General features: G+C 34.1%; 1 protein-coding gene and 1 long non-coding RNA gene across 10 annotated transcripts in view; one reads left to right on the top strand and one right to left on the bottom strand.

The window, feature by feature from the left end:
• The window catches only part of LCA5 (lebercilin LCA5), a 53792-nt gene extending 36862 nt beyond the window's left edge, over positions 1-16930 (top strand). For all 5 annotated transcript variants that reach the window (XM_047418251.1, NM_001122769.3, XM_011535504.2 and 2 more), the window contains 5 exons: positions 8171-8308; positions 9274-9370; positions 10191-10333; positions 12705-12837; positions 14055-16930. In XM_047418251.1, coding sequence (XP_047274207.1) covers positions 8171-8308; positions 9274-9370; positions 10191-10333; positions 12705-12837; positions 14055-14917 — 1374 coding nt within the window. In that variant the 3' untranslated portion in view covers positions 14918-16930. The remainder of the gene's footprint in view (positions 1-8170; positions 8309-9273; positions 9371-10190; positions 10334-12704; positions 12838-14054) is intronic.
• The window catches only part of LOC100506851 (uncharacterized), an 84650-nt gene continuing 68937 nt past the window's right edge, over positions 12225-27937 (bottom strand). For 2 of the 5 annotated variants that reach the window (XR_001744213.2, XR_001744214.2), the window contains exons 5-6: positions 20481-20671; positions 12225-13488 (exon numbers count right to left, since the gene is read on the bottom strand). This is a non-coding gene — a long non-coding RNA (uncharacterized LOC100506851). Of the gene's footprint in view, positions 13489-17551; positions 20672-27937 lie in introns of those variants that run through there. The other 3 variants (XR_001744215.3, XR_942713.4, XR_942711.4) reach the window with 2 other exon arrangements.

Below are 27937 nucleotides of genomic sequence, written 5' to 3'. Positions count from 1 at the left end.
TACTATATATTATACATCTGTATTCTATACTACATACTATACTGTTATACTATATACTTATAGAATATACAGTTATAGAACTCTATATATTATACATAGAGAACTATAGAGAACTCTATATATTATATAGAGAGAACTATATAGAACTCAGTATAGTATATACAGTTATAGAATTCTGTTATAGTTATAGATGTATATAGTATATGCCATATATTAATATATAGAATATACAATATACTATATACAATATAGTATATAACTATATTGTACCTATTAGCATATAGTGGATATAATTGGATACTATATAGTAAATTCAGTAAGCCTTTCATGTTTGTATTTTAATGGAGAAGTATGGACTGGTTGAAAATAGTGTTAGAAAGCTTTACAATTGGATCAGTAATTGTACCCAAAGGGTGCAGTTAAATAAATAGCTGTCAACTTGGAGAGAAGGTTTCTAGGTGGGTGCTTTCGAGTGCTATCTTAGGCTCTGTTCCTTTCAGCATATTTATCAGTGAATTTGACCAGGCTCCTTAACAGCAAGAACAAGTCTTATTTAATTTTTTATTTGCAACATTTGGCACTCTCTGGCATAAAATTAGTGTTTCTTAAAAGAATGAATGGATGGATATGTTCTTGACAGGTTCAAAAATAGGAGGCCCAACGAATTTGATGGATGACAAGATCAAGATTGATCCCCCTAGGCTCAAAATCTGGCCTAAAATAAGCAAGATAAAGTTTAGTCAGGTTAACTGTTTCACTTCAAAGTTTTTCCATCTATTTTATGCGTACACTATGGGGAGCCCTGGGTTAAAAGTAATTGAAGTTAAAGCGTAATTTTTTAAGTATATGAACCTATAATTGTATGGCCACTTAAAAAATCAGAAGGGAAGAAGTTAACCCACTATGGTGATACCTTTGTCCTAAGAGGTAATAATAACTCTAATTTTATTGGTCAGATCACATCTAATAGCAAGTACCAGATTTTAGGTAACAAACTGACATATGGAGGCAAACAGGATAACCAGGGGGTCAAAAAGCTGACATAAAAGAAACAGTGGAAGAAACACAGAATCATAGAAAATATAAGGAAAAATGTAACTTACTTCATTGTTTAAAGGGCTGTCACATGGAGCAGGAGAAATGGATTTATTTCCTGAGGGCAATACAAACCTAATGAATATTACTAGAAAACTGGTTTCCTCTCATTCAAAAGAGCCTCCTAATAACTGGAATTGTCCAATAATGAAACCAGTATGCTTTGCATTATCAAGCTTTCTGCTTCCTGAAGTATTTGTGCAGATTCAATGTCTACCTTCTAGGAATACTGTAAAAAAGTATTACTGTAAGGTGGACTGGAGACCTGCAGGGTCCTTGCTTACACAAGGATCTGAATCTTTAGAATTGAGCTATAACAACACTGAACAGATGTTAAAACAGCTGACATTGATAGACTTATTTTAACAAATGCAATATTGTTATTTAAATCTATAATCCTTTACTAATTAATAAAAAATAAATGAAGGTAAAATAACTTATCCTTTGTGTTTGCTTGCAAAAATTTTAAATTATGTTAATCCTTTATTTCTTTCCATTAACAAGACAGAATTCTGTGATATGTCCTTTGGAAAAAATGTTAAGTATTTTAAATTTTATTGTATTATTAACGTGTTTGTTTAAAGATGTTTTGAAATTTACAGTAAAAGTGGGGAAAAAAATTACCCAAAGGACTGTAAATCATGCTGCTATAAAGACACATGCACACATATGTTTACTGCGGCACTATTCACAATAGCAAAGACTTGGAACCAACCCAAATGTCCAACAATGGTAGACTGGATTAAGAAAATGTGGCACATATACACCATGGAATACTATGCAGCCATAAAAAATGATGAGTTCATGTCCTTTGTAGGGACATGGATGAAATTGGAAATCATCATTCTCAGTAAACTATCGCAAGAACAAAAAACCAAACACCGCATATTCTCACTCATAGGTGGGAATTGAACAATGAGAACACATGGACACAGGAAGGGGAACATCACACTCTGGGGACTGTTGTGGGGTGGGGGGAGTGGGGGAGGGATAGCATTAGGAGATACACCTAATGCTAAATGACGAGTTAATGGGTGCAGCACACCAGCATGGCACATGTATACATATGTAACTAACCTGCACATTGTGCACATGTACCCTAAAACTTAAAGTATAATAATAATAAAATAAAATTTAAAAAAAAGGAAAAAAAAAAGTGGGGCAAAAATATCCATAGTCCTGCCAGCCGAAGATAACTACTATTTGCATTTTCTTCCTTATTGATTGTTTCTTTAATTTCTTAAAGTACTTCTAATATTTTTTATGAAATATTTTGAATATACAGAAAAAGAATATTTAAAACATTCATGTACCTACTTGATATTTTTCTATTTTTGCTTTAGATCTTATTTTGCTAAAATAAGCTGACATTAAGATCTTAAACTGAAGTTTCCTTGTATCTTTTCTCCAAACATCCTTTTTCTACTCTCCTTGCTCAGAAGTAACTACTCTTTTGAAGTTGTAGGATATATTTTTTCTAAGCATTTTAATTTTTACTTAAACATATTTTAGAAGCTTTTTTTAAATAAGTAGTACATGTATATATATTTTTAATTAGAGAAAAATTAAAAGATAAAATGAAAACATTCTCATTCTTACCACTCAGATGTCACCACTTTTAGTGTCTTAGTATGTATCCTTCTGGATCTTTTTCTGTGAATTTGTGTGTGTATTTATGTGTAAGGAAATTTTCTTCTACTACTGGCTTGCTAGGGTTTTTGTTTTAAATCATGGATTGTTTTGAATGTGAAACTACTCTCGTTCTTTGCTTCTTGGGATAGGTGCTGTTTAGTTGTGATGCAATTTTTACACATTGCTAAATTCCTTTTGCTAATATTTGTTTGAGACTTTTGCAACAATATTCATATTTTGGAATGGTGTACAATTTTATTTTTCCACTATTGACATCAAGATTATAAAAAAATCTCATCAAAAATGACATAGAGTTTTTCCTTTCTGTTCTCTTTTACAGATAATCTGTTTCTTAAAATTTGTTAGATTTCACCACTGAAAACTGGATTTATTCCTCATTTGGGAGTTTGTTTTTGCTTTTTTGGTTTCTTTTTCTACTTAATCTTTTAATTTTTAACAGTGTTTTTAATTTTTAAAAAAAATTCTTCTTAATATTTTAATAGTATTTTTTAGTTTACCATTATTTCTTGCATGTCACCATTGTTCATTATTGTTCCTTCAGGGTTCACTTCCTTTCTTACTGAAATATATGTTTAAGTGAGGGCTTCTGAGTGGCAACACTTTTTAGTAGTTGTCTGAATGTATTTTATCTTCACTCTTCAATGATAATTTTACTGGGTCTTGCTGGATTCCAGGTTGACAGTTATTATCATTTGGAACTTAAGTATTTTTTAGCCCTGGTATTTTTTTTAACATGTTCTCATTGAGTTTAATGGTTTCCTGTTTTGCTCCAAAATATCTAGGGGGGGATAGGATTTTTTAAATTAATATTTTATATGGAAATAATTTCAAGCTTACAGAGAATTGCAAATCTGAAAACAGTACAAAGAACACTCCTATACAGTTTACCCAGATTCGTCTGTTGCTAACATTTTATCCCATTTGTCTTATAATATGCATGCATGCTCTCTCATGTGGTCTCTCTGTCATATGCATATATACACATACTTTTTTTTTTTTTAGCTATTTGAGGGTAACTTGCATACATCATGCTCTTTACCCCTAAATGCATCAGTGTGTATTTTTTCAGAATAGGGATTATGCCCTTTATAGAACCATAGTAAAATTATGGTTATACTATGATTTACACTTATATAATGATTTCCTCTAATCTACTGTCTGTAGTACAGTTTTTGTCAGTTGACTTAATCATATCTTTCTTTTTTTTTTTTTTTTTGAGATGGAGTCTCACTCTGTCGCCCACTCTGGAGTGGCTCACTGCAACCTCCACCTCCCGGGTTCAAGCGATTCTCCTGACTCAGCCTCCTGAGTAGCTGGAATTACAGGTGCGCACCACAACGCCTGGCTAATTTTTGTATTTTTAGTAGAGATGAGGTTTTACCATGTTGGTCGGGCTGGTTTCAAACTCCTGACCTCATGATCTGCCCGCGTCGGCCTCCCAAAGTGGGATTACAGGCATGAGCCACCGCACCTGGCCATCATTGTATCTTTTATAGTACTTTCTGTTCTCCAGTGGGACCCAGTCTAGGGTCAAGTATTATACTGAATTGTCCACCTTTCTAGCCTCCTTTTATCTGGACCATTTCCACATACTGTTGTTCTTTTATTTATGACATTCACATTTTTTGAAGCATACAGCTCCATACCCCTTTTCATTTAATAGAATATCCTTAACTTCGTATTTCTCTTATGTTTCATTGTGTATAGATGAGGTTTTTGTATTTTTGGTGAGAATACTGAATAGGTGATATTATTTTCCTTCTTAAGGTATCACATCTGGAGCCACATGATGTCGCCTGACCTTCATTAGTAATGTTAATTTTGATCTCCTAGCCAAAGTGTTGCTCAACTTGTCTAACATTTATACATTAACTGTTCTTCCTCTTATAGTGAAATCAATAAGCAGTCTATGTGGAGCTGCCTTAAGAATATGTAAATATCTTGTTCCTCATGAAAATTTAGCATCCGTTGATGATTCTTTTCTGATCCGGTATTTATCATGATGCTCTTTCCAACTTCATCTCTCATTATATCTTCAATTCTGGAAAATTCTTAACTTTTTTGCTTGTTTTGTTTTTCAGTTTGCTTTTTCCTCATTTTGTCGTTATCTTTTAGATTCTTATTACATTACAAAAACATTTCATGAAGAATATGGATGGGCAATAAACATGACAATTAACTTTAGTAGTAATCAAAGAAAAACAAATTAAAATAATTGTATCCTTCTTTAGGCCAATCTGATGGATTAAAGAATTAACAATTTCCTGTTATTGTAAGTATCTAGTGAAATAAAGGCTACTAGACTTTCAAAGAGAATGTAAATTGTTACAGCCTTTTCTAAGGGCATATTGGTAATGTTTTTCAAAACCTTGAAATTGTACTAATGTCTGTCAACCCAGAAGCTTCATTTTTTAAAACTTACACATTTGTTTTTACTGTTTTTTATTATCTATAAAAAGTTTTAATGCCTTTTTGTACTCCTCCCCCTTTTATCAATCCCTGCCCACTACTCCTCAGCTAATCTAATGTTTGTTTCTGTAAATTACTTTGCATTTTAAGAATTTTATATACGTGGAGTCATATAGTATGTATTATTTTATTCCTGGTTTCTTTAGCAAAACTATTTTGAGTTTCAAACATGTTGCAAGTATCAATTGTTCATTCTTTTTTATTGCTAAGTGGTAATTACCCTTATTGTATACATATATATGACATTTTGTTTATCCATTAATCCATCCCATTGATGGACATTTGGATTGTTTCCAGTTTTGGCTATTGCAAATAAAGCTGCTGTGAACATTCATGCAGAAGTCTTTGTATAGACACTGGCTTTTCTTTCTCCTGTGTAAAGACCTAAGTGTGGAATGAATGTGTTATATAGTAGATGTATGTTTTACTGCCCAACTGTTTTCCAAAATGGTTGTACCATTATACATCCGCAAAACAAAAGTGTATGAGAGTTCTGGTTGCTACTCATCCTTGCCATTTTGTATGCTTAGTTTTTCCAGTTTAAGACATTCTGATAGATAAATAGCATTGTTTTATTGTGGCTTTAATTTGTGTTTCCTTTATGACTTACGATATTGAAGCATTGTTCTATATGCCCATTTGTCTCTGGATATCTTTTTGGTGAATTATCTGTTTACATATTTCCTCCATTTTTTTGCTGAGCTTTTTGGTTTCATGTTACTGAATTTTGTGGGACAGATACAGATGTTTGGAGGTAATATATAGTTGACCACTGAACAGCATGGGTTTGAACTGAGTGGGTCTACTTATGCAAAGATTTTTTTTTTCAATAAACACGGTAGGCCCACCATATCCACAGGTTCCACATTCCACAACCAAATGCAGAAATAAAAGTATTTGCAGTGTGTGAAACCTTTGGATGCGGAGGACCGACTTTTTTTTTTTTTTTTTTTGAGATGGAGTCTTGCTCTGTCACCCAGGCTGGAGTGCAGTGGCATGATCTCGGCTCACTGCAACTTCTGCCTCCCAGGTTTAAGTGATTCTTCTGCCTCAGTCTCCCGAGTAGCTGGGACTACAGGCGCGTGCCACCACACCTGGCTAATTTTTTGTATTTTTAGTAGAGACGGGATTTCACTGTGTTAGCCAGGATGGTCTTAATCTCCTGGCCTTGTGATCCCACTGCCTCGGCCTCCCAGAGTGCTGGGATTACAGACATGAGCCACCGCGCCTGGCCCGACTTTTTATATACTCAGGTTCCACAGGACTGACTGCAGGACTTGAGTATGCCTGGATTTTGGTATCCACAGGAGTCCTGGAACCAATCCCCTACAGACACAGAGGGATAACTCTATACATTTCTTCATACAAGTCCTTTAGTACAGCGGTCCCCAACCTTTTTGGCACCAGGCACTGATTTCGTGGAAGACAGTTTTTCCATGGACAGGGTTGAGGGGGATGGTTTCAAGCTGAAACTGTTCCACCTCAGATGATCAGGCATTAGATTCTCATAAGAAGAGCACAACTTAGAACCCTCGCAGGCACAGTTCACAATAGGGTTTGTACTCCTATGATAATCTAATGCTGTTGCTGATCTGACAGGATGCAGAGCTCAAGTGGTAATGCTCGCGCTTGCTCGCTGCCACTCACCTCCTGCTGTGCAAGCCCGGTTCCTACCAGGTCACAGACCAATAGCAGTCTGCAGCCCAGGGGTTGGGGACCCCTGCTTTAGCAGATAGGGGATTTGCACATATTTTCCCTAGTCTGTGGTTTATCTTTTCATTTGCTTAATGGGACCTTTCAAAGGTCAGGAGTTCTTGATTTAGATAAAGTCTAAGACACTTTATTTCTTAACATTTACCCTGAGGAAATAATACATGATTAAAGTTATATGTATTAGGATGTTTACTCTAGGAAAAATTGGAGCACCCTAATAATGAACAGCAGAATTTAGTTAAATTTTGATAATCTGTAAAGTACGATACTATTCCATTGAAAAAGATTGTGTTATTACAGTATATTGACTTAGGTATTTATGGTTTTATTTACTGAGAAAGATATATCAAAGTCTCAAATTATATACATCAAAATGTTGGCAGTGATTATCACAATGTAATGAGATTGTAACTGCTTTTTATTTTCTATTTTTTTGTTATTTTATTTATACTTATAATAAACATTTATTATATTTGTTATCTATCTATCTATCTATCTATAAGATGCTTTAAAAAAAGCCCGCAAGTTAGAAATGATGTCTTGACAAGTTATTTTAAAAGAAAATATTTCAACATGAATTATTTTATAAACCTGATGGGCCATGTTTGAAGACCATGGATGGAAATGGCTATTGTTTTTATCTAGAGATGTTTTACTCTAGGTACTCTCCGCAGCTTTGGTAGTGCTGTGTAATTTTATCTGTCTTGGTATCTTATTTGCCCAAGCAATGTGTGTGTGCTTAAGATTTTTTTTTTTTAAGATAGTCTTGTTTTGTCTACCAAGGCTTCATTTCACTGGCGCAAACTTCCAGGCTCTAGTGATCTTCCCGCCTCACCCTCCTGAGTAGCCGGGACTACTCAGGCATGCACCACCATGCCCAGCTAGTTTTTAAACTCTTATTTTATAGAGATGGGGTCTTGCTTTGTTGTCTAGGCTGGTCTCAAGAGCTCCTCCTGCCTAGGCCTCTCAAAGCACAGGATTATAGGCATGAGCCACCATCCCAGCCTTAAGAATTTATTTACAAATTACTGTGAAAAGCAAAGATAGGAATAACAGGCTTGATACCTTACTAAATTGTTGGTAAATCTGTTTCCCAGCTTATGTACATGAATACTATGCCCAGTCTGATTTGTAGGTCTTGGACAATACCACTAAAAACATCATTTTGACACTGCCATGTGTTATGTTTCATTGTTGGAATTTTTTTAAAGGACTGCTTTTTATGTATTTATACATATAGGAGCTATCGAAAAACCTTGAACTGAGTACTAACAGTTTCCAACGACAGTTGCTTGCTGAAAGGAAAAGGGCATATGAGGCTCATGATGAAAATAAAGTTCTTCAAAAGGAGGTACAGCGACTATATCACAAATTAAAGGTAAGTATTTTAAATTGCATTGTTTTCCATAATGTGTATTAGACGAAAATTAAATATTTTAAAACACTAAATGTTACTATTCATATTTGTAAGTTGGTACAATATAATTTACAAAATTCTGATATTATCTTTAGCACTTAGAAAAGGTTTGTTGGTATAATTACTATAACAAAGTGAAATTAAAAACAAAAACAAAAAAGGTGAAACACTGAATACACCAATAGAAATGATGTAACTGAAGTAAATTGTAAAATCATAGAAGAAAATTATGGGAACTAGAGCTTCACTGTGTTGCATGGTTGAATAATTCAGTGTTTTTCCTCAGATCACCCAATGATTTATTATTTTTGAAGTTGTTTCAAATGATGCCCTTCATTTTCACAGTGTTTAGAGAAAGTATTCAAATTATTTAATTTTGTTAAAACAGGTATTCTTCATTCTACATAGAAGTCATCAATGAGTTCTAGATAGAATGAAATTTTGCACAAAATTTTGTGTAACATAGTGCAAAATTATATATTATCTTATGTTTTCTTTTTGTTAATCAAATTCTCAGAAAAAGCCACAGACCCAAAATGGTCAAGTATGCCTGTGTATGAAAGAGTGGTCTAATTTTTAACTCATCAATATTTCAGAACTTACATTTGAGAGATACTAACTAAATTATTTGTCTCTGTGTCTCAGTTAAGACAGTACTAGCTCTATCAGGTAAGAATGAGTAGAAAATGAAATTTGCCTTAATTTTTTTAATTTCCAGGACATATTAGACTTTTTAGGGAAAATTATTGCTCTATCCTAACCTCAGTATGCTAGAGACATTTCTTTCTATAGTTTGGTAGTTACAAAAGGAAGCTGAACCAGGTAACTTTCAATATGGTAAGAAAATACCAGATGACAAAGTGAGGGGTTTTGTTTTGTTTTAAGCAGAGGCTCTACTTCCTTAATTGTATTGCGTTTGTTTTCAGGAAAAGGAGAGAGAACTGGATATAAAAAATATATATTCTAATCGTCTGCCAAAGTCCTCTCCAAATAAAGAGAAAGAACTTGCATTAAGAAAAAATGGTATGGTAAATATGATTGTTCAAAAACTGATATTATTGCTATTATTTAGTGATAGTACAATAATTCTGAAATGGAAGGGAAGGAAAAGAACCTCATTGAAATATATTTAAAATAAATGTATTTGTTGCAATTTAAATTTCCTAATAATTTTCAGAAATCCTTTTCTGTTTTCTCCATTTTTTTCCCCTGAAGTGACGCTGTTAAAATTGTTTTACATAACTTTTTGAAATTTCCTTATTATAATTTTTTAATGTTTTTGAAAATATGCAAATATACCCCGAAGTAGAGAGAGTAATATGATGCACTTTCATTTACATATCATGTAGCTTTAACAGTTATACTTTTTACCAGTTTTATTTCATCTGTTTTTTTACTTTTCTCCAGAGTATTATAAAGTAAATCTTAGCTGTCAGTTGATTTCACCTATAAATATTTTGTATTGTTATTTGTAGTTTTACTTTCTTTTTTAACAAAAGTATAATTTCCCTTTTATGTGAATTGCAAGATTTTAAAGTATAAATGTTGTGAAATTTAAAGCATTTATAGTCAGAATTCTCCCCAAATCATATAATTGCCAGTAAATCCTAGAAACAAAAATAGTAATAGTGAGTATTAACCAAGCTGAGCAAAACATGCATTATATTTATATGGTGAATATATATAGGTGAATATATATATTCTCCATTTAAATGAAGTGGTGCATATAAATGTACATGTATATGCAAACACACATGCATATATATATATACATGCCAGCTGAATTCCATATATTTTAGCATTATTCATTGTAATAATTTTTTAAAAATAATTTTCACTGTAGCTGCATGCCAGAGTGATTTTGCAGACCTGTGTACAAAAGGAGTACAAACCATGGAAGACTTCAAGCCAGAAGAATATCCTTTAACTCCAGAAACAATTATGTGTTACGAAAACAAATGGGAAGAACCAGGACATCTTACTTTGGTGAGTTTAGCAGTATTGTTATGTACCAAACTCGGTCTGAAGTTATTCCTAAAAACACAATATCAGACATTTTAAAATTTCAGTAATGAAGCTAGTACTATATCTATATGAATATGCGACTAGCCTTTTTGAAGGGAAAGAGGTATCGTGTATTTTGTAAAATTCCTTTGGCTTTTAGGAGATATACCTAATGCTAAATGACGAGTTAATGGGTGCAGCACACCAGCATGGCACATGTATACATATGTAACAAACCTGCACGTTGTGCACATGTACCCTAAAACTTAAAGTATAATAATAATAAAATTTAAAATTCCTTTGGCTTGAGTGTTTTAGTTTACATCACCTATTTCAGGTGCTTCAGAATGATGGATTGTGCTTCCTGGGTTGGGGGCAGAAGAGAAGAATTTGCCTTCTAAGTTTCTCTTATGTACCGACATAGTCTTGGAAAACCCTCAGTACTTTTATCTTTAGTAGCAAGTAATAGTAGTTTTCAAATGATTTGTTAGAATTTGACTAGGTTTAATTTTTTTTTTTTGGTCCTCTATATAGGAGAATTTTACATGTTAACTGACTGAATAATGAACAAGGTAATTGCAGTGGAATCTGACCTTATCCTGTTCAAATTAGAGTGGAATTCAAGGGGTCTCTGTTGGACTTTCATTTAAAAGGACCTTCATTCTGAATCACTGGAAAGTCTCTTTCTCTAAGAGAGTTTTATCTTTAGTGTTTACAACTTAAACCCCAAAGAAAACAACGTATCGGCAACCTAGCATATTTCATACAATGGTATATTTTTATACCTTATAAGTTTCCCAGTGACCCTGAGGTCTCTTCTTGAGGTATAAAACAGAAAGGATGAACTGATTTGATTTCTGTGTATATTCTAGTTTTTTATTTGTTTATTTATTTTTGTTTGATAATTCAGACAAGTTAGTTGTATCCGCTAAGTTGTGTTTCTGTATTTGTGCTGTCATTGAGACTAGATCATGTTGATTTGTCTTTTTGAAATCACAAAGTGAGGAATAACAAAGTAATTGTTAACTTTAAAAGGACTAAAATATAGGTCTTTTTACAGTATACATTCAACAGAAGGAATAGAAACCTGGTATAGTGAAAAGAGTATAAGAGTATATAGCCTTGGAGTTAGCTCTCATTTTAGTTAAATTCTAACATTTTAGTTGTGTGACTTCTTGGAGCCTCAGCTTTCTCATGTATAAAATGAGGGTGGATTACTTTTCAGGGTTGTGACAATGAGTAATCATGAAATTTTTTTTTCTTTTTCTTTTTTAGTCAGATGAAATTGGAAATAATCATGACATTTATAAAGCTCTTTAGACTGAGCCTGCCACTGTAAAGGGCCTCACCAAATGGTAGCTTAGAGTACAAGCTAAGTTGCTATTGGAAAAAGACTTAATAGAGTGGCTCAAGTGAGATAAAAATTTCTCTCTCTTGTAATAGACTGAAGTCAGTTGGTAGTTCACAGTTGGTAGACAGCTTTGTTTCATGGTAGTCACCCCCTGTCTTGTTGATATTCCATTTTAAAGAGTGTAGCCCTCTTGTGTATGGTTGGAACTGGCTTTCCACCCCTGTGGGAAAGGGCAACAAGGAAATGGAGGGGAAGCAGCATTTGGTTTTATAAATGTGATCTGAAGTTGCACATGTACTTCCACTCACCTTCCATTAGTTCTTTCTAGCTGCAAGGGAGGGTAGCAAATGTAGTCTCCAGCTAAGCAGCTCTCTGTCCTGCTAAAACTCAAAGGATTCCATTACTAAAAGGGAGAAGATGAAAATGGATACTAGACAAGTCTTTACTAATAATAGATATTTCACTTTTATTAAGAAAAATCACACACCCATATATTTGAACGTTACCATAGGAAACAAGGAATTTTAAGTTTGTAACATTTTTATTTGATTTGAATATTATAAAATATATTAATTGGGGGTTGGACATAATATTGTCACTGCTCATGTTATAGTTCAACAGCATCTCACTTGATGCACATAGTTGGCGAATAGTCATTTCTGCTTAACTGAATTAATCAGATTTTTGGTGAAAATGCACAAAGCAAGGATACTTCTAAAACTTGTCTCTTCAGGGTTTTATGTACCGTTTTGGCTTTACTTCAGTTATACTGGTTCTAGTACATCTTATGAATGCTTCTTTACAATTTTAACGGAAATAATCCTGTGCGGTTTTGAAGAATTTTTCAAGGAGTGATAACTTGTGATTTACTGATTCATTAATTGAAAATTTGTATTAATTTTTAACTTAGTTGGTAATCATGTTTAATGGATAAATCTGTGTTGCTTAGTTCCCCCCCTTTTCTATAATTTGTGAACTTGCATTTTTTTTAACGTATAATAGGACTTGCAATCTCAAAAGCAAGACAGGCATGGAGAAGCAGGGATTCTAAACCCAATTATGGAAAGAGAAGAAAAATTTGTTACAGATGAAGAACTCCATGTCGTAAAACAGGAGGTTGAAAAGCTGGAGGATGGTAAGAAAAAGAGTTTGTTTAAGCATGTGACAAGTCAGCATCCCTTGAGAAAGAAAGAGTGAGCGTCTTCTAATATCTTCCAGCTTAACTGTGAATTGCTTAGGTAGAACAAAGAAAGGTGGATACAGTGGTAGGGGATGGCTTATCAGGAGCCATACACATTTGAATAATGTTATTAAGGAAAGAAAAAAATTGAACACTCTAAGTCATTTGCTATTTAGGGTTAGGGAATAAGGACAAGTTGCATTCAGAAAATTCTGATGAAGTAGAATTCAGATGCCACTTACTAAAGTTACTATACTTGTGGTGTTCTTACATATTTTAAAATTTTTAATTTTTTCATTTGGAAGTAGTTTCAAAGTTAAAGTGGCAAGAATAGCTAAAGAACTATTTGTGAGTGAGTTGTGTCATGCCCATACCTTTAAATAGTTGTATGTATATTTCCCCAAACTAGGACATTCTCTTAGACTGTATTCTAATGTAGTTTTCAACTTCAGGAAATTTAACTTTGACACAACACATTTATCTGATCTGTCATTCATATTATGATTTTGTCAGTTGATACAATATTGTTCTTGATAGAATTTTCTTCCCTCTGGTACAAGATCATGAATTGCATTTAGTTTTCATATCTCTTCAGTCTTCTTTAATCTAGAGATTTTTGTTACATATATATATAGAGAGAGAGAGAGGGAAGGAAAAAGAGAATGTGTGTGAGAGATTAACATTTTTGATGAATATAGACCCATTTTTAAAAATAGAATGTTCTTCATTTTGGGTTTGTCTGAAGTTTTCTCTTAATTAGATTCAAGTTAATGCATCTTCTGTCAGAATACCACATAAGTCTATCTCAGGATATGACATTGAAAGGTTTCATTTATTTTTAAGTGTAGAGTCTTTGCTCCATCTATCCATCCATCCATCCCCACCATACAGCATTATATTAGTTATAAAAAATAGGCAAAGAACCTTTCTTCCCCACCAGTATCTCAAAGAACAAATTTTTTTATAAATGAGAATCTTAAATGCAATACGTATTAAATATATTATTCTCTAATCCCAGAATATCAAGTATAGAAATGAAATTTATGATGTCTTTTCTCACTTGATTTATAATACCCAAATTAAATATGGTGGTTTTATGAAAGTTGATAGTTTTCCTATTTAAAAATATTGACTGTTACAAAATCCCATTTAAAAAATTTGATTTCATACAGAATGGGAAAGAGAAGAACTTGATAAAAAGCAAAAAGAAAAGGCATCTTTACTGGAAAGAGAAGAAAAGCCAGAGTGGGAAACTGGAAGGTACCAACTAGGAATGTATCCAATTCAGAATATGGATAAATTGCAAGGAGAGGAAGAAGAAAGACTGAAGAGAGAAATGCTACTTGCTAAACTGAATGAAATTGACAGAGAACTCCAAGATTCTCGAAATCTAAAATACCCTGTTTTGCCATTGTTACCTGATTTTGAATCAAAACTACACTCCCCAGAGAGAAGCCCCAAAACATACAGGTTCTCTGAATCCTCAGAGAGATTATTTAATGGGCATCATTTGCAAGACATCAGTTTCTCAACTCCAAAAGGAGAAGGTCAGAATTCAGGAAATGTTAGAAGTCCAGCCTCCCCTAATGAGTTCGCATTTGGTAGCTACGTGCCTTCGTTTGCAAAAACATCAGAGAGGTCAAATCCATTTAGTCAAAAAAGTAGTTTTTTGGATTTCCAAAGAAACAGTATGGAAAAACTTAGTAAAGATGGTGTAGATTTAATTACAAGAAAAGAGAAAAAAGCTAATTTGATGGAACAGTTATTTGGTGCCAGTGGTAGCAGCACCATTTCCTCCAAAAGCAGTGACCCAAATTCTGTGGCTTCCAGTAAAGGAGACATTGACCCTCTAAATTTTCTCCCTGGGAATAAAGGCAGCAGAGATCAAGAACATGATGAAGATGAAGGCTTTTTCCTCAGTGAAGGAAGAAGTTTTAATCCAAATAGGCACCGATTAAAACATGCAGACGATAAACCAGCAGTAAAAGCAGCTGATTCTGTAGAAGATGAAATTGAAGAAGTAGCACTGAGATGACTGACTAGAGTATACATTTTTTCTAATTGTAAATATTGAAATATTTTAATACAGTATTTATTATAAACATTTAGACTTTTTAATGCTAAAATGTCCTTATTAAGGAATGATTTTTAATAGCTAAATACAATGCAGTTAAAAAGAAGTAGATCATACATACACCACATAGATAGTTTGCCAAGAATGAAGGAGGCTTTTTTGAATGAAACCAAAAATAAAAATATGTCTTGAAAAATGAAATAGATTTTAACTCTTCATCCAGTGCTATGGCAAGTTTAACTGCACTGGAGGTGGTATTCCTTTTCTACTTTTATTCCTATTTATGTATTTATTTTTAATCATATTCTCACTGTGCTAAATACAGTCTTCCCACTAATTGTTGAATGAAAATTAAGGGTGAAAGTCTGTGTTGGGAAGTGTAGCTCCGGATGGTGGAGAACCAGTGCTTCTTAGGAGCCCTTCCCTTTATGGATAGGGCCAGGGGTCCCTATCTTACGTGGCAGTCCTAAGCTACTCTTGAGTGATAGCAGTCACAACATTGGGATTTCCCATTCCTCTGAAAGTACCCACAGCTAAACACTACTCATTTCCCAATTTCAGTATTTACTGAAATCACTTACCTACAATTCTGTTAGAATATTATGTTGAGTTCGGAAGACATTTCTCTGTTTGCAAGGACAGTTAGTTGCTCTCTGTCATAGCCCGCAGAAGCTTGGCTACAGTGTAATTCCTCTCCTTGTTCTCCTACACTCTTTGTATCTCAGTGACTGGGTGTAAGATTTCATGCCAAATGCAAGGAATAGTGGAAATACATACCAACTGCAAAGAATAGAAAAACTTTATCCCAATATATTATAGAAAGATCTTCAGTTCAATTATGTCCAGAGTAATATAATTTGGCAATGTTAATGCTTTTAAGATTTGAACTTGTCCTCAAACCAAGGAGACAACAATAGTGTAATACTATTGGACTTACAGGATTAGTTTTAAAGCAACTTTGAATAGAAGTGTTTCAGACATAGGACTTCTGCCTTGTTGACTAGAGTGGATAGTTTTCTGTTTAAATGCATTGGTCTTTTGGCTGTTTGTAATTCACTTCAGCTTATAGAGAAGTTGATGACCTTGGATCATGCTGGGTATGATTGGTCTTTAAAAAGCAGTAATATACCACCAGCCCAAGGAGAAAACATTGTTAAAATGAAGAGTGGTGGAAATAGTGTGTTGGGAAGAATAAAAAATTTAGATTGGCACTTATTCTAAAGTGAGCTGTTTTTTTCAAGAATTTACTAGCATTTGCTCGTAGTATGATTTCTGACGCCAGTCATATATACTGATGAGGGGAAGGAGTTACTGTGTTATTCTGAGTTCTTATAAATGCATATTATTGAATTTCATTGCATGACTATTTGTCAAGACTTACCTGGTTAGGTCTCCAATTAAAAGATGTACCACCTGTCATCTTCTAAATTGTGTTCCTTTCATTTATTGGGAACAGAATCTCTCAAAAGTGCTAAACTATATTAAAAAGTTTTCTTAATAGATTTGTATGTCTGATATGTATAACCATTTACTATAATATGTTGCAAATCATTCTAATATATGTAAAACAATATTATTTGTAATGCAGTTATTGGTAAAATATTATGTAATGTTAATTTTGTTCCTAGCTGCTAATTTTTCTGCCAAAAGTATTCTAATTTTCAGGTTGTTTTAAAGGCTTTTAAAACTTTTTAGTTAAGTTTTTTATTCACGTCATTTAAATTAGTTTTTTGCTTTTTTTCTACCTGATAATCTCTTTAACAAGATGCAACAAGACAGAATTATTAAAATTAAACCTAAAGTTAAGTTACAGATTTAAAGGCATTATGATATTAAGCATTAAAATTGGAGATTAAAATGTACAAAACAGGGTTTTCCTTATGAACAAACCTTACAGGGTAAATTGTTTTTTTTTCTAAATGTCATTAAATTTATTTGTACTCAGAACTGTTACTAATAAAAATTAAAAATGCACTATGACTCTTTATTTAAGTGATACCTGAGGCTACTTAGAAAATATGTAATAGAAACAGGCCCTGCAGGGTTAATTTTTGTTTCATTATACCTTTTTTTATGTTGAGTATTTTTAGTTGAAGTAGATGAATTTTCTCTAAATCAGGTTAGACAGTACGCTAGTCTTATCAGATAATTATAGTTTTAATTAATCCTTTCACCCTTAATGGCTATCGTAATGGCACATATTGCTCATAATTTTTTTTTTTAAAAAAAGATGAGGGTAAAGAGGATTAAATTGAATTGTGAAATAAACACAAATTTATTCCATGGCTGACTTGCCATTTTTCTGATTATCCTCTTCCACCTCATTTTCTGAGATACTCGGCTTCTGGTATCCCCGACTAGTTGTTAGTTGGATAGAGCATGTAAATCTGCCTGATGAAAAGGGGAAGGGAAATTTGTATTATGGGATAATACGGATTTTTTTAGGATTAAAGAAGTTACCATAAATTGCAACGAATCTGCCTTAAAAAGTTTTTCCCCTTCTACACAAAACTTTCTTATGTTAAAGTCTCCTTTTATATCACTTGAAATTGCTCTCCTTTTATTTAGGAGTTTTTTGTTTGTTTGTTTCTTTTGTTTTTTGGGTGTTGTTTTTTTTTTTTTTTTTTTTTTTTTGTTTTTGAGACAGTCTCACTCCGTCGCCCAGGCTGGAGTGCAGTGGCGCAATCTTGGCTCACTGCAACCTCTGCCTCCCAGGTTCAAGCGAGTCTATTCAGGAGAATTTTAAAAAATTAACCACTAGTACTTTCTGGATGCCCTAGACTGTGTTAGATGGCAGGAGAGCGTGGAGAGTAAACCAGACAGGCCCCTGTCTTCACAAAGTGGATGAAGAGCACAGTGAGCCAGACTGCATGAGGTTCCATCCCTGCCCTCCCACTGTTCCCTGTGTGTCCTTGGACCACAGCTTGCTCAGCTGTTATTGGTCTTTAATAGTACTTCTTATGGTGGTTATGAGTAAATGAAATACTTAGGTTTATGCTTGGCAGGTGCCTGGCACATTATAAGCACTCGGTAAACATTAGCTGCTATTACCATGGCTAACTATGAGTTTCTTGTAGGGAAAAAAGAATGAACAAATAGAATACAGGTATGAATGTGTAATACATTAATGCTATACTTTGCACAAGACATAAGCAGAAAAAGCTTTTAAACCTCCAAATTATCTTAAAACCTCTGTACTAAATACATTATGTCTTTTTTATCTGCACTTAGAACTCTCCTTACTTTATTCAGTATTAAATTTGGGAGGGGAACAACACACACGGGCCTGTTGAGGGGTCGGGGATGAGGAGAAGGAGCTTAGAAGATAAGTCAGTAGGTGGGTGCAGCAAACCACCATAACACACATATACCTATGTAACAAATCTTCACATTCTTCACATGTATCCTGGAACTTAAAAGTAATAATAAATCAATAAATTTGCAGTAAGAATGATGAGTTTGTTTCCTAACCCACAGAAGAGTAAAAAAACTAAACTTTGAAAGGATTTTCTAAAGACGGGTTCAGTGACATAAGAAGGAGAGGGGAGTTAACAGCTTCACAGCAAAGAGAGAACAAAATCCAGAAACTTTCAAACCCACGGAACTTTTGGGTTGCATAATGTGATAGGTAATTCATACCTCAGCTGTCCCTTAATGTCTGTGTGTATCCTTGGATAAGTGACAACACCTCTCTGCACCTTTGTTTTCTTCTTTATAAAACAGGGCTAATTAGAGTGCCTACCTCACAGTAATCTAACCTAATTAACTCGAAATTAATACAAGAAAAACTGCTTAGAACCAGAAGCACTCGGACGTTAGCTGCTATTGTTGTTTTGGAAAGACAATAATTGTGGAGAGCAATTATTTTTGCTGAATGCCAGACATGGCAGTTGGCATTTTTATGTGCTTTATTCCTCACAAAGTTTTTCCAAATAAGTACTGTTATTCCCATTTTCAGTTACAGCTAATAGATTGTGATATATGTTATAGGTTACCCATGAGATTACACAGGTAGTAGATTACATTCAGTAGCCTCAATATGAGAAATCTAAAGAAATATTTTAGAAAGAGTTTTGTTTTAGTACTTTTTTTTTTTTTTGAGATGAAATCTCGCTCTTGTCCCCCAGGCTGGCGTGTGATGGCACGGTCTCGGCTCACTGCAACCTCTGCCTCCCGGGTTCGAGCGATTGTCCTGCCTCAGCCTCCCAAGTAGCTAGGATTACAGGCACCTGCCACCACGCCCAGCTAATTTTTTTGTGTGTTTTTAGTAGAGACAGGGTTTCACCATGTTGGCCAGGCTGGTCTCCGTCTCCTGACCTCAGGTGATCCACCTGCCTCGGCCTCCCAAAGTACTGGGATTACAGGCATGAGCCACTGTGCCCAGCCTAGACTCTTTAAGTGGTAACAGAAACCCAAATCAAACAAGCTTAAGCAAAATAAGGAAATTACTTTTGTCTCAAAACCAGAAAGCTTAATAATGTGTGGTTGGATCTGGAGGTTCGAATAATAGTACTTACTTTGTCCACTGCTGGGTCTCATTTTCAGAGAAACTTTACATTTGATAATATTGCAGTTGTTACAGTTGGTAGCCTTGAACCCACATCATTCCTTCATCTGGCATGCCCCTTCTCCCACCCCCTGCAAAAAGAAAGTCTAGTCTGGCAGAAGTCTGATTGGCCCAAGGAATGCTGTGTGCTCAGCATTAAGGTTGGTGGTCTTGTGCAGGGAAAGGATGGATCCCTACTCTTACCTACTTCATGGAATGAACAGGATTTTTGTGGAATGGAGGAGGCATGTTTCCCCTGATGAAGGAATTTTTGACATACAAAAAATATTCTTTTTTTATTAAAAATTTTAATCAAAAAATAATATGGAATAAAAATAATAGGGAATAAACATTAAAAGTTGGTTACTTGTTCAGCACTCCTTATTCCCAGGAACGAGGCATTTCTCTAATAAGATATGATGGGGTTGCACTGTGAAGTTCATTGATTATTAAAGGGTGAACGATTTATCAGCTACAGTAGGTAAGATGGATATGACATCTACATTTTAGAATTCATAGAAAGACTTAGAGACCCAAATATGTATTTTCCATACTAAATGCTACATTTTTGAGATACATATCCATATATAAGTGATTATATTCTATCTACCTCATCTAAGACAAAATAAAAATTAGAACTCAGCAGCCAGAGTAGAATAGTAAAAACACTGACTTTGGAGTCAGAAGTTGGGTTGGAGTGTTTGCCAATTGCTAATTACAACTTTTGTCAAATAATTAACTTTTCTTAACATCTTCCAGAAGTGAAATAGAGCTGATCCTATCTTACAAGATTATTGTGAAGATTAAATGACATCGTGTATTTTTGAGAGAAGAGAATAAGTAACATGATGAAGCATGTCATTAGAGGGAGATCATTATCTATTTAGCATTAATTTCTGTATCAACACCCAAAACTTTTTTTTAAAACAACAGAAGCTTGTCAGTATGGAATCTTAAAAACTACACGTGTTATCTTACCTCATAATCTACTGTCTTTGACTGAAGTGGGACTCTTCTTTACAGATCCATACGGAGGTATTCCATAGAGATGCTTTGCTGCTTTTGTGGACAAGCAGCCTGTGGCAGATGCAGTTTTACACACATAGTTTTGCTTCACCAGCCATTTCCATGAAGGGTAACAGATACAAATCAGGAACCCAGACTGTGTTCTGAAAGCAGAGCATTAGAATTCAGGATGGTCTCCCTGCCAGTAGAACTACGGGGATTCCTTAACTACCATGGCCAATGGTGACTGTCTTTCTTCTCTCTTTAACTGACCTGAATACCAAATTTCAAATTTCTGGTCCCAGTTGATATTGATCCTGGTTATGCATACTTTTTGTGTAGTCTGTAACAGGACATTATAGATGTCAGATTTTTTTTTTAACCCTGATACAAAGAACCCAAGAGTTTTTTATATAGGCAATCACAGCTACTGAAAACTAAGTACACCTAGAAAAAAAGGTTTATTTAAGGCTTTGTTTTGTTCTTCTATAAGAACTTCCCCCAGAGTCTTAAATTTAGCCTCAATATTTGCTTCTAATCTCTGTGATACCTGTAATATTTACTCTTCTAAGTACTTACAGAGGAGCTCCAAGTAATCAGGACAAACCTTCATAGTCTTTATCTAAAATAATTTTCAGTAGAGAAATAGGATCAATACAACCAAAGAATATAGGCCAGGAAAATCTGTTAGTGTTAATGCTTTACACATTATGACCGGGGTCTAGAATATAGAAAAATGGGGCCCATATTTCTGAAGTCTAGTTTTATAATGAATATCATGCACTCTTTCATCCTAGGCAGAAAATTGTGGCATTTCCCTGTACAGTAACTAACGTTTTCCTCTTGAAGAACATATTCAGCATCATTTAAATAAATTTACGTTATACGTTAGGCAATAGTCCTCAAAGTATGACCTCCAGAGCTGCAGCAATGCCCTCTGGGAACTTGGTAGAAATGTCAGTTCTTGCCAGGCACGGTGGCTCACGCCTGTAATCCCAGCACTTTGGGAGGCCAAGGCAGGTGGCTCACCTGAGGTCAGGAGTTAGCAACTAGCCTGGCCAACATGGTGAAACCCCATCTCTACTAAAAATAGAAAAAATTAGCCGGGCGTGGTGATGGGCGCCTATAATCCCAGCTACTCGGGAGGCTGAGGCAGGAGAATTGCTTGAACCCGGGAGGTGGAGGTTGTAGTGGCCGAGATCGCTGCCATTGCACTCCAGCCTAGGCAACGAGAGCAAAACTCTGTCTCAAAAAAGAAAAAAATAAATGAAATAAATGTCATTTCTCTGGCTGTATTCCCAGACCTACTATATAAGAAACTCTGTGGGTAGGGGCCAGCAATCAGTATTTGAACAAGCCCTCTAGGTGGTCCTGTTGCAGCTCATTTGAGAACCACTATTCTAAAGTACTACTCGTTGGGGTGAGTAGGTGTTCCTTTATGTACAGAAATGGCTACCCTGGAAGGTTTTTCTATATTTAAATCTAGCACTTAGGGCTTGTGATCACAATGAGCAGGTGCAGTATATGGACTCATCTTTGCCTCCTCACACTGCACACTGTCTGGACTAGAAAGAAGCCACTGTCTTTTTTATTTTGTGACTGAACCAGTTGTGATCTGTAACTGTCGGTTCTGCATGGTTAACATGTCAGAAAATTTGAACTAGTCACGAAAGAGGAATTCTATTGGAACAATGAACACCAAAAAGATTGAGTAGTTCATATAGCATTCCTCCATTATAACCTATGATTCCCAAACTTTCAGAAAAACTTCAAAACATCATTCTTATAGCATTCCCTCAAGAAGAACAAATCAATGTGATTTAAATTTGATATTCTTTGTGAACATTCATTTTTTAATGCAACAAGTTTCTTAAATGTTCAGGTTTTTGAAAGTTTGAGAAAAGTATGTGGGAGTGTGTGTGTATGTACTTGATGGTCCAGTCAAGTGGTTTCTATGCTTGAGCTTTAAAAAATACTAAAATTAGTCCATCAGTGATAGACTGGATTAAGAAAATGTGGCACATATACACCATGGAATACTATGCAGCCATAAAAAAGGATGAGTTCATGTCCTTTGTAGGGACATGGATGAAGCTGGAAACCATCATTCTCAGCAAACTATCGCAAGGACAAAAAACCAAACACCACATGTTCTCACTCACAGGTGGGAGTTGAACAATGAGAACACTTGGACACAGGAAGGGGAACATCACACACCAGGGCCTATTGTGGGGTGGGGGGAGGGGAGAGGGATAGCATTTGGAGATATACCTAGTATAAATGACGAGTTAATGGGTGCAGCACACCAACGTGGCACATGTATACATAAGTAACAAACCTGCACGTTGTGCACATGTACCCTAGAACTTAAAGTATAATAAAAAAGGAAAAAAAGTAAAATTATCTAAATTAGCCAATATACAGGGAATATTTAAAAAAAAGAAAAATGAGACAGAATTAAGTATTCCCGCTTCTCACGTAGCCACTCCTCAGTGTATGTGAAGACAAAGGTATATAAACAAGAATTTCTACATACATCTAGAAGAAGTGTTTATTTACTAACACAGTCGATCACATTTGAATTTTGTTTGCTATATAAAGTCTTCATATGTCTTTCTTTGGCTTTTTAATTTTTTTTGTCTTAGAAAAACAAAACCCACTTCGTATAGAACAGACCTGTTTCTGTGTAATCTGTTTATATGGTGCCAAGTATCAGGCCATATAAAATATTAATACTGATGACGGAGTGGGTGAGGGGTGGGGATGAAAATAGGTCTATTTCCAAATGTAGAAGAGAGAAGCATATTTCTCCAAGGTTCAGGTGCCATAAAATGCATCTCCACTAGAAAATGGACAGTCTGACAGGCCAGTGAAAATGTAGTGGCAATGCAAGTTTTGAATGTATCCCTAAAACTGATTATCCCAATGTAATTTTGGCTCTGGGACTAGCAATCCCAGAGTTATAAAGTAATGGAGTAATACTTTATATAAAGTATTAGAGTAATACTTTATATAAAGTATTAGAGTAATACTTTATATAAAGTATTAGAGTAATACTAGTTATAAAGTTAGAGTAATAAATATATTGGTTTTGACACCCCCACTGGAGTCGTAACTTCATCAATTTTCTTGTTACTGTGCTTATTGATAAACATTCTACAGAGTAAGGAGTTCTCATTTAGTTATGAAATTTTTCTCTTAGTACCCTTCACCAGTATTTTTCATTTTCAGCTGTAGCATAATTTCTGTTTCTGTTTTTAAGTGTCTTTTTGATTAACTGCAAAGTTTGATGGAGTCCAGCAGCATTAATTAAATCAGTGTACATGGTCAGCTGGGTTTTTTTCTTACCTGCTGAGAGGTTGCTAGGATATTCTCGTAAAGATACAATTCTCTTGATTAACTGCAAAACCCAGATTGCCCAAATAACATTTTTATTAATTCATAAAAATACAGCTGAGGATTGCATTTAAATTAATAGCAAGGTAAGTGCTATATATCTCCAGATGCTTTTAGTATTGCAAAAATGTGTTTAGGTATACTTATAAAGAATGTGTTTTGAATAACAATTAGGAGATGGAGAATTAGTCATTTTTATTTTAGGGAGAGTATTTCTTTGCGTTGCTCAATGTATATGAATTTGAAGCTGAAAAAGTTCTGAATTTTATATCACCATTGGCAAATACATCTCAACTGTATCTATAGCTCTGCAAAAATGCTATTTTATAATGATTATCATGATTATTATTTATTGGTATAATTGATTTCAAAATCTTATATAAATTGCAACCATTGCCCTTGGTTGATTTAGTAAAATAAAATCAAGAAGCATATGAAGAAAAAGAGACCTTCACCTACGGTAGTTTGATGTGATATGGATAGTTGTTTCAGAGGTCAAGGACTAGCAAATGGCTTTATCTGGGTGACATTTTTTCTAGCAATTGTTTTATGGCTCATAAGTATGAAAATAACTATGCCCGATTCTACTCCTGCCCATCTTGCAGTTGTACATTAATTCATTCATTATTAAGCATTTACGGAGCTCCTATTATATAATGCAATTTACTAGAAATAATAAGAGGATTTTTAGATGGCAGTATGACATAAGATTTTCATTTTGAAACAGGCACTTCTATACTAATGTAGAAGATGGATTGAACAGTTTAGGAATTGCAGATAAGAAATAATGGAAAAGTCAGTGGGCATATACTATATAGATGAATGATAGAGTTATTTATGAGAGAGAATTGACACCACTTGGTAATCAACTGAATGTGGGAGAGAGCAAGAGAGAAGAAGCCCCCAGTAACTGAGGAGATGACAGGGACACTGACTGAAATGGAAACTATAAGAAAAACAGATTTAGAAGGTAGGAGTTCATGAGTAGCTCCGTTTTAAACATGATGAATTTGTTGTGGGATATCCATATGGACACGCCTAGCAAACAGAAAGATCTACACCAAAGATATTGATCTTTGTCTTAATCATACATATGTGGAATTTGTAGCAATGTGTGTGCACAAGATTACTCAGTGTGTAAAAAGCATGAATACAAACAACAATAACAAAGAAATGATCATGTCAAACAGCTTCCACTTTGGAAATGGTTTTCCTAAAGCTCATTTCTCCCTGTTAATTTTGAGTTTCATAAATATCTGAATTGTACAAACTTAATTAAGTTGCTGGCCCTTCTTCATTCTCCTCTCTCTGCAAATCCTTCAAGATAAAAAATGTTTCCTTTAATAGGGGAGGCAATCAATTTTTAAACATTTTTAGGAAAATGAGAATTTTTTTATTCTAAAAAGGCTTTGATCCTTAATTGTTTGCCTCTGCCAAACTTGCCAAGTGGTATTAAAGACATTTTAAATTGTTTTTCTATTCATGCAAAAGAAACAAGCTGATACAGGAAATAGACAATACAGATAAGCAAAAGAACATAAAATTAACCTAAAGTTCAACCAGCTCATCCAAAATGCCATTTTTGGTGTGTGTGTGTGTGTGTGTGTCCATGTATGTACGTGTACACTTCTGGACTTTGTATCTTGTTCTAATGATCCTTCTTTTTCTGTATCAGCACCACGTATCTTACTATTTTATGTTCTTTTTTAAAAATCAAACATTTTGGCTAGGTAATACACTCCATGATTCAGAAATCAAAAATGATATGGAAAGGTATACAATACATTCTTGTTCCTTTCCCTGTCCTTAATCTAACTAGTTATGAATGTACATAAATATTAAAAAAAACTATTTTCATTGGTTTCTTGAGAACCAGTGACATTTCCAAAATTTGTGCAAATACAGTATGAATTGTCATTATTTCCATCTTGTAAATATGGCATATTTTATATACTATTATGTATGTTGATTTATTTTTTATTCATTATATTTCTTATTATGATGGTTAGTCTATATGTCAACTTAACTAGCTGTAGTACCCAGTTATTTAATCAAGCCCTAGTGCAGAGGAGAATGCCTTGTGAAGATGGAGGCAGACTGGAGTGATGTCTACAAGCCAAGGAACACCAAGAATTGCCAGCAACCATGCGAAGCTCAGAGAGAAGCATCTTTCCTAGGGCCTTTCAAGGAAATATGACCCGGCCAACACCTTGATTTCAGACTTCTAGTCTCCAGAACTGTAAAAGAATATTCTAATTTCTGTTGTTTTAAAGCTACCCAGTTTGTGGTAATTTGTTACAGCAGCCTTAGGAGAGTAATATCGTGATCCTTTCATATCATTACATAGAAAGCCTCTTCACTTTTAAGAGATAGCTTCATGCTAATCAATTGTTATGGATATACCAGCATTAATTTACCAGTCCTCCTGTGATAGGTATTTGGGTTGCTTCCAGTCTTTGCTATTACAGATAATGCTTCATTAAATGACTTTGTACATTAGTTTTACTTGTGTGTAAGTATAGCTGTAGGAGAAATTTCCAGAAATGGAATTGATGGATCAGAAGGTATATCATTTGTTAGTTTAACAGATACTACAATTTTATCCACCATGGTTTTAACCAATTTACACACTCATCAGTGTAAGTGCCTGTTAAGCCCTTTTGATAGATAGCTCAATATTTGTAAGGAAATTTGCCTTTCCCTTAATTGGAGATTGCATTTAAGAGCCATACACTTCTGAACTACCTATTCATATTCTTTCCCCATTTTACCATTAGATTATTGATCTTTATCTCCAAGATTGAGTTATATATTAGATAGATTAGTCAATTACCTGTGATGTGACTTGAAAACTTTTCTTCCAAATCATCTCTTATCTTTTGATTTTGCTTATTGTATTTTTTTCTTTTTACCATGCTTACTTTTTTATTTTATGTAAAATTTATCAGTCATTTATTTTTAATCATTCTAGGGTTATAAAAGGATTCTCTAATTTTTATCTAACATTCTAAGTTTTATTTTCTATAGAGTTTATACATATATATACTGTGAGATACAGCTTTAACTAATTTTTTCCAAGTGGCAATCCACCTAGCCTGATGCCATTTGTTAAATAGCCCATCTTTGAGTTTGATTAGAAATTACACCTTTATTATATACTAAATTATTTTATGTATTTGGATCTATTTCTGGAATTTTTATTCTGTTCCACTGGTTGCCTGTTTATTCATGTGCCAGTATCACCCTATTTTAATGTTTGAAACTGTAAATTATATTTTAATATTTAGTGACACTAGACTCTCCAACCTGTTACTCATCTCAAGTTTTTCATTCCTTTATGTATACATTTTGCCTATAAACTTTAGTATCATTTTGTTTAGCTTTTTAAAAAAACATTTTGGTGCTTTTATTTAAATATTATATCCATGCTTTTATAATGTTTGGCCTACCTATCAAAGAATATAGTATATGTTTCCATTTGTTTAATTCTTCTCTATACTTCAGTAATGTTTTAAAGTTTTGTTGTAGTTATTGTTTTTGTATAGGTCTTACACATTTCTTGTGATTCTATAGATTTTTAAACCTTTGTGTTGCCATTGTTAATGTGGTCTTTCATATCTTATCTCATTAGTATTTGTATAAGTAAAAGCTATTTTTTTAGTTTTCCAGGTACATAATAATTTTGATAATGATAGTTTTAAGTCTTCATTTCCATTTTAAAGCTCTCTAATTTCTTTCTCTTGGCTAATTGCATTGGCTTCTTCCTCCAGCACAGTATTGTATAATAATGGTGATAGAGGTCATAATTGTCTTGTACATATTTTTTAGTTGGTTTGCCTTCTCCTCTTTTCCCTTTAAGCATGATGCTGACTTTTGGGCTGAGATAGATTTATTACATTAGGCAAATATACATCTTTTCCCATTTTACTTGAGTATTTATAATAAAAACTGGCTGTTCAGTTGTTTTTCATATGCTTTTTTGGTGGCCACAGATAGGCTATGATTGTCTCAATGTAATGTGGTGAATTATGTTA

Source organism: Homo sapiens, chromosome 6 (genome assembly GCF_000001405.40).
Source record: "Homo sapiens chromosome 6, GRCh38.p14 Primary Assembly".
In the NCBI taxonomy this organism is placed as follows: Eukaryota; Metazoa; Chordata; class Mammalia; order Primates; family Hominidae; genus Homo; species Homo sapiens.
The sequence above is the reverse complement of the archived record's forward strand: the minus strand, read 5'-3'. Positions and strand labels throughout refer to the sequence as shown.